Genomic DNA, 8,311 nt, shown 5'->3' with positions numbered 1-8,311 from the left:
TTATGGCATATGGTTGAAAGCTAACCTTATGCCCTCAGTGAGGGGGCAATTAATTCAGTCAGTGTTTAGCATCCAGTTGTAACCCTGTGACCCTTACAATCCCTTCCTGACAATTCTGGTTCGTGGGCTATTCAGTGTATAATCTTTCTACATTCAATCATTTCTGTAATAAATTTTGTGGCTCTTTTTATTATATATGAAATTATCACTTTACTTTAAAAAATTAAGATAAAATGAGTCTTCTTTACCATATTTTGAAAAAAAAGGATTTTGAAAATGTTTTGACCTTTTGCTCTCAACTTTGAGGACTGATCAAAACTAATATACTGATATTCATTGCATACTGACATTGCCTTCTCTAAGAAGATGCCAAAAACATGTATATTATTATTCAAGGCAACCTGGTAATTTTCCCTTGAAAACACAATTCCTGAGCACCCACAACCCAGCAGCTACATGCAGTGTGCCAGCTTCACAGTTCAACAAGAAGAAATTTTAAAATTTCAAGCAGATGAAGAATAATCTTTATTTGCATTGAGAAATATCTTTAGAAAGTAGAGTATTTTCCAGCTTGTCCTTTCTCTGCCGTGACTGACGTTGGCCTGGATCTAAGGAAGCTGGGACTAATGATACATGATTTCATCTGCCATGTGACATTTGAGACAAATAGCTTGTAATAGAGCATGGAGTAAATAAATAAAATGGAAAGAACCTAGAAAGAAGGACTACTGCTGATTAACAAACTCCAATGTCAAAGAAACAGACCAGTAATGTAGATGAGTGACAAGGGCCCATGTGAGTGCAGATGGATAGCTGAGTGGGTAGAGGGGACCCTGGCAAATTACAGTGAGTGAGTCCTGTCTAGAGGGATAGAATAATCTGCTGATATATATACATATGTATGTATGTATGTGTGTGTATGTTTGTGTGTATGTATACATATTTTTAGAAGAGAGCAATTCCTTAAACATTTATTAGCATACCCTGATCAACACTTGTTCCTGAGTATCCTCACTCAGCCCACGGCTTTAAAACCATATGCAAATAACGGACAACACCAAACTATTCAGCTGAACTCTATACTTTCATACCCAGCTTCCTGTCTGATATTTTCACTTGGACATGTACCAGCCATCTGAAATAGCACAGGTTCTTGATTCGCTCCATTGAAATCCAAATATTAATAGGATCTTCTCTCATTCTTTCCCCTCTCAATGAATAATGCCAGCAGGTGCAGTTTCTCAGGTCAAAACCTTGAAGTCATCTTTCTCTTTTTCCTATCTTCAAATCCATTAGGATGACCTGTGGCTCTACATTCGAAATATGCTCATTCAGGCAACTCCTCACCATGTCCACTACTACAACTTTAGTTTTATATCTGCCCTAAAGAATTGCAAATCATTCTCTTAACTGCTCCCTTGCTTCCACTCTAGCTTCCCCATAGTCTCTTCCACAAAGCAACTAGAGATTCTTTTAGATAATAAAAATTAATACATTTTTCAAACATAAAGTGCCCCAGAAATATTTAGCTTTGAGATGATACTACTGCAGAAAATAAAAGGCTATTTAATACACCTCCACCTTGAAGACTTACCCCCTTTTTTCCGTATCTCTGAATACTACTAAATATGCACATCAATTTCATCACAACCATCACTCCAGAGCATTTTATCATCATCTGAAGTACTATACTTCTTCTTTTGTTAATTATTTTGTGCCTCTAAAATAAAAGTTCCAGAAGGGAGGCTTTGTCAGTGTTCACTGCTGTATCCACAGAGGCAAGAACTATGCCAGGCACAAAGTGGTTACTCAAAAATGAATGGATGGATGGATGGATGGATGGATGGATGGATGGATGGATGAATGAAGAGTTCAGATTTAAATGCAGGCATATAATCTCAAAACTTATGCTTTTGCCAGTAAATAAGTTGACTCCTAGGATGGTGCTAGGTCAAGAAAGGCAGTAGGAGTCACAACAAAGAGTTTCAATTCTATTCTCAGAGCAAGCAGTTATTGAAGGGTTTCAAATGAAATAATGGTGCAATTATATTCACACTTAGGAAAGATTGCTTTGACAGCATCCAGGAGAATATTTTGGATGAAGGAAAACCAATAATTCAGATTTGCAATAGCCTAAGAAAGAGATGCTGGGGACTGGAATTGGATTGTGGCAGTAGAGATTAGAAAGACGGACCACTAAAAAGTTATTTATAAAATAGATTCATCAAGGACTGGTGACTGACTAACTGTGGGGAACAAGCAGACTGGAGTTAATGGTAATTCACAGGTGCCATTCTCTGCTCTAAGTACTAGCAGGTTTGGAGAGATGATTAGTTCAGTGTAGACAGGTTGAGTTTGGATGTTAGTAAGACATCCACTTGGAAGTATCCTAAGGCCAGCTGGATACACTCAATATAGAGATCTAAAGTCTTGTGCCTTATGTTTTTTATTCAGTAGATAACTTATAGTTGGAGATATTGAAGAAGAGTTCATCTAAGCAGACCATGAAGATTAGGAATTGAAAAGAACGTAAGATAGAATCATAAAGAAAACAAGTAAGAGATAGGCAGAGGAAGAAAATCTTGCAAAAGGCAGTAAGAAGGAGTAATTAGTGCATAAAAGCAAAATCTACTGTTGTCTGCCCAGAAAAAACTAAAGCAGCTTACTGAAGTGCCTAACATATTCTCAAGAAGTAGTATGCACCAGGAGACTCTGAATCCAATTACAATATCATTCAAAAGAGCTAATGTGTAAAGCCATCAGAATCGAGTAGATGGACAAGCTGGAAAGACATAATGGGTTGATCAATACAATGTCATGCTTGGTATTAAATATGGTATATGATAAATAAGCAATAACAATAACAGATAGCGAGGTGCTGGGAAATGTCTAGTAGAGGAATGTTGACAGAGGAGATAAAAGAGAAATGAAATACCATACAAAGCTAACAGCTTATATACCCATTCTACCTCAATTTTCCCTCTATACTCAACATTTACTTGTAAAATTTAGCAAAACTCTGAAATCTCTGTAGATTGCCCTTCTCAGCATATATTTTAAAAACTCACTTTAGTTAGCAAACTTTTATGAGTTTCATTCTATTGTACATAGCCAGCCATGTTAATCACTGTTAATTCTCATGATAAAGAAGTAATTCTAATGACAAAACCAGCTAATTGTCCATGGTTATCTCTGAGTATTATAGCAAGATCTCTTATATTGCTGTTTTAACAATTATGAAAGATTTTTTTCAATATAATTTTATATATCAGGGTGGGTACTCAGAATAAAAGTTGAGATTGCGACTGAAAATATGTCTTATTTAGTAATAGCTGACATTTATTGAAATAATTATTATATACTTGGGAACCTTTTAAGTGAATTATGCATATCAGATAATTTAACCCACACAACAACTAGAAAGTAGATTCTATTATTATTGTCATTTTGCACATGTGGAAGCCAACGCCCAGAGAGTTTGAATGTTTTGCTCATCAGAGCCAGGAGCTCTTGCCTTCTGACTCCAACACCTAAGATTGTTTTCTTTTCAGTTATTTTGCTTCCAATATTTTATCATGTTGGCCATTCACTTAACATTTATTTTGTGGTTAGAGCTAAATCTCATACAAAGACTCATCTCTGTCATTTTATATGATGTAGTACTAATTTTTCACAATTTACAATAGAAGCAAATTCTATTGTGTTGCTATTTGAACTGAACAATCATACAGAAATTGAACTCAATAATGAAGCACTTACATATAGATTTTGATATGAAATAAATATAAAATTCTGATCAATATTTAATCTCTTGCAAATAATGGGCTTATTTCCATTTCCTGGTGAGAAAACCTCAAGAGATCTGATCAGCTGACAGAGCAGATGACTGGGAAGGGAACACAGCTAGGTCAAGTATCTTCAAAGTAGTTCCTGAATACCTAGTCCCTTTGCACTGAGATTATTTAAAGCACGCACAGCACACCTTCTGAGTTCATCTTGCCACATTTACCCTTTGTTATCATAAATTTCCAGTTTTCTGTAATTTCTTATACCTTCATCAATATACTTGTTGACTGATAGGCATTTCTGACTAATTTTACTCTTAGAAGACATTAACAATCTAGAAATAATTTTATTTTTAATACTTATATTTATTTTAGCATTTTATATTTAAAATACAAATAAACACCACGTGTTTATATTCTAATATTTTCCATAAATGGACTTTAATGTCATATACATCTGATGAACATAGGTAAAATGCTATATATAAATGGTGAAATTAAATCTTGGAGTGACCGAACCAGACAGCAAAGTCACGAGTTTGATTTAATAATAATGAATAGATTCTTATAATTCAAATAAATGACAATGGAGCATGGAGTAAGTAAATTAATGAGACTTTGTATTCTCAATTGCATTCTAGACAGAAAGATAAATAAGTATACAGATGCTACAGTAATATATATACAGGCACAAAGATACACAGTCAGTAGGGCATGTTAATGAGTGTTGCTCAGGGAAATTTACATCAGAAGTGTATGACCATTAGCAAATGAACCTGGACCTTTGTAAGCTAGCAGTGGAAATAGCAAGCAACAAGAGTGCTTGATTCATAAGGATTTTTTTGGTTTGTTTTTTATTTTTTTAAAAAACACAACTAATTTTTAGTTCAAAAAGTAAGTACAGAAAGGATGAGAGGTGGGTGTTGTGTTGGAACTGTTCAGTATCTTGACTGGCAGATACAGGCATAAACGCAGGAAACGAAATTGTAAAGAACTTCACACACGTATGTACACAATACACTCATGCATACGCATGAACTCACAAATGAGTACAAATAAAAATGGGAAGTCTGAATAAGATTGCTGGATTGCATCAATATGGTTGTAATATTATATTACGGTTTTACAAAATGTTAACATTGGAAGAAACCAAACAAAGTATACAAGGAATATTTATGTATTATTTCTCACAGTGTCATGTGAGTACATGTACAATTATCTCAATGAAAATTTCAATAAAAAGTAATTATATAATTCTAAATTAACTTTATTAAACAGTGAGTTAAAATGAAAATCAAATTAATTTTTTAAAAAACTACTTTTTTAACATGAAAAACACTACAAGTATTTCTCAACTTGGATGATAATAATAATAATATCACAACAATATCATAGAAGAACAAGAAAAATTGCCAGCTCTTGTTAAGTATTTAGTATATCTGACATTGATGTAAGTGTTTTGGTTTTATTAACTCATTTAAACCTTATAACAATCTTATAAGATTGATATTATTTTTATCACCATTTTATAGATAAGAAAACTGAGAACAAGAGAAATGAATAATTCTACCCAGATCAAATATACTAAGATGCATATATATGATATATAAGGTAAATATGGTAAGATATAGTATATCAAGATCAAATATAAGTGTCAAGACTTGAATTAAAAGCAAGACAAATTTCTTTCTTTATTTTTATTTTTTTTTTTTGAGACTGAGTCTTGCTCTGTCGCCTAGGCAGGAGTGCAGTGGCGTGATCTCGGCTCACTGCAACCTCCGCCTCCTGAGTTCAAGTGATCCTTCTGCCTCAGCCTCCCCAGTTGCTGAGACTACAGGCGCCTGTCACCACACCTGGCTAATTTTTGTATTTTTAGTAGTGATGGGATTTCACCATATTGGCCAGGCTGGTCTTGAACTCCTGACCTTGTTATCCGCCCACCTCGGCCTCCCAAACTACTGGGATTACAGGTGTGAGCCACTGCGTCCGGCCGGCAAATTTCTTTTGGCCTTTGACTATCTTCAATGTACCCAAATCTTAATGCAAATCCCCCCTTACTCAAGATAACAAAATTAAACAATAAAACAATAATGTTTTTATATTCAGTTTATTCAACAGTTTTAAATTATTAATATGTGTTAACTACAACATGGTGGTAGTGAGATCAAATGCACAAGTTCACAAGTTTGATTTACTCATTCTACAAATGTTCATTAAGCATGGCTATACACAAAGCAACATCACGAAAGCTAGGAGAAATATGAAAATATGTAAACTACAGTCCTTGCCCTCAAGGAGCTCAAAGTGTGTGAGAAAAGATAAGAAATATAAGTAAATAGATTTAATGCAAGACAACATGTGGTAAGATTGAAATAAATGGGAAAAATAAAATATTTAGAAAAATAAAATAAAATATGAGTACAAAGGTAATTCAGAAAGGTGTCTCAGTTATGATATTTAACTGGTTTCAAGTCAATAAAAGGTAATTTATGAACTTATAAACTTAAAAGGTCACTAGTGGTGGAAGCTGCAGGCAAGGCTTGATCCAGCAGCTCTATGATATTCACCAAGGAGCAGTTTTGTTTCTCTAAGTTTCTTTCTATTGTGGCAAGTTTATTCCAAGGCTGGTTAACCTTGTCGTTGTAGAATGACTAGCATTTTGGAATACGCAATTTTGCAATGACATATTGGAATGACAACCATGATAAGAGGGTAGGTGGGCATGAGAGAATGAGAAAATGGTTGATAGATTAAATTTCTTACCCAAAGCATCAACTAAAGTCTTGGGCTTCCTTCTAACTTGACCACATAAGCCCTGTGCTGACCCTTGACTAATCTCTTTAACCAGGAGAATTCTGTGTATTAAGTTGGCTTACACCCTGATTCACATGTCCTGTCTATGAACGTATCTCTACTGTAAGGGGGCCTGTGACTGTGTCAGTCAGATTGGCATCAGCTAATCAGGATTCATCTTAGGGTAACTGGATGGCTTAATTCCACCCAAAATATGCGGCTGTTTGACAGTGAGGGTGGTGTAGAAGGGATACTAGTGGGCAACCAACTATGTCCGCTGCAGCTCTCTCCATGCATCCATACATACCCTCCTTCCCATATGAAGGCCTTCTTGGAAGAGGTGGCATTTGAGGTGACTGTTGAACAGGAAATAAATATACAATTCACACTTTTCTCGGTGATTTCAAGAAGCATTTCAAGATCTTTTAGTAAATTAAGGACATAATTATATTAAATTTATTGAAGTGAAGAAACAATGAAATGTTGGTTATTCAAATCTCCCAGATGAGTATCCTGTTTCAAATAGAGAAAGCTGTTTCTAGAGGCAAAGTTGTTTTGGCTCCTACATTCTATGAAGAATCTCCCCTTCCTCTTGCCCTTTCCCCAACTAACATCTGAAAGTCAAGTTTTCAAAACTGAAACATGATCAGTTTCATGGATGAAGGTGGGTGCTTAATTCATGGGGAGACAGTCTATTCCAAATATTGAAATGGATTTATATGTTCATGTTTGTGGAGAGGCTTGATATCCCTTGCCTGGAAATGTCTTTGATGTTCTGCAGAGGCCTCTCAACCAGCTTCTCCTAAATTCCTGTTATTCATTCTTTCTAGCTGAGGTCTGAAGTTCCCCTGCTACTGCTTCCCAACTCCTAAGTTTGAGTTTACCCTTCTATGTTTCTGTTTCCCACAGTGAGTCCAGTTTTTCTAGTATGTCTTGTAAAACTTTTATTTCACTTACTTAAACTCCCAGCATAGTTCCTTATTTATAATTGTCACAAAATAAATGTTAAGTAGATTGGAGTCATCATTTTCTGATCTTATTTCATTACTCACTCTCCTTAAATGAGACTGGATTTCCTCAGAAAATACCACAGTACATATCTAGTCTGATAGAAACTATACCTTTGCTTGCCTTTCTCATGCCTACTTGATGGGGAAAAGAGAAAATAACTGATTCTTGGATCTCCAGATTTTTCACTCACACTTACTATTCCATTTTTTTCCTTTGATGTTTAGATATCACAATATACCACTTTTTAGCCCTTTTGCATTTCTACTTTTCTCTCTGTCTCCACCCCCCGGGAAAGATTGGCTCTTCCTCGTTATTTTCAGAATTTCATAATCTGCCTCATGTTTTTCTCCTGTTATTTAAAATTTGGTTGCTATCCTCAACAATGTCAAATCATTGGTTGAATCTTCACATGATATAAATAATTTAAAATTCTTGGCTTTCCTTAAATCCACCAGGCTATGTGTCTTCTCCATAACGTCTCTCCAGCAATCTGACCAACTCCTTGCAAATGGTATCCTCACAAGGTTCAGATTCACTAAGATTTAAGCCTTAATCTCTTTCCTCTTTGACCATAAACTTGCCTACTGCCTGTCTCTCTTCCACTGTACTGTTCTCCCTCTCCATACAGAGCTTCCATCATTTCATCCTTTCCACATAAAACTTAAATATTCAGTTGACACTTCTTGCTACAACTTCCTAAGTCTGGAAACTACTCCTCAATG

The sequence above is a fragment of the Homo sapiens genome, chromosome 2 (genome assembly GCF_000001405.40).
Source record: "Homo sapiens chromosome 2, GRCh38.p14 Primary Assembly".
Classification (NCBI taxonomy): domain Eukaryota; kingdom Metazoa; phylum Chordata; class Mammalia; order Primates; family Hominidae; genus Homo; species Homo sapiens.
This window is presented reverse-complemented; position numbering follows the sequence as displayed.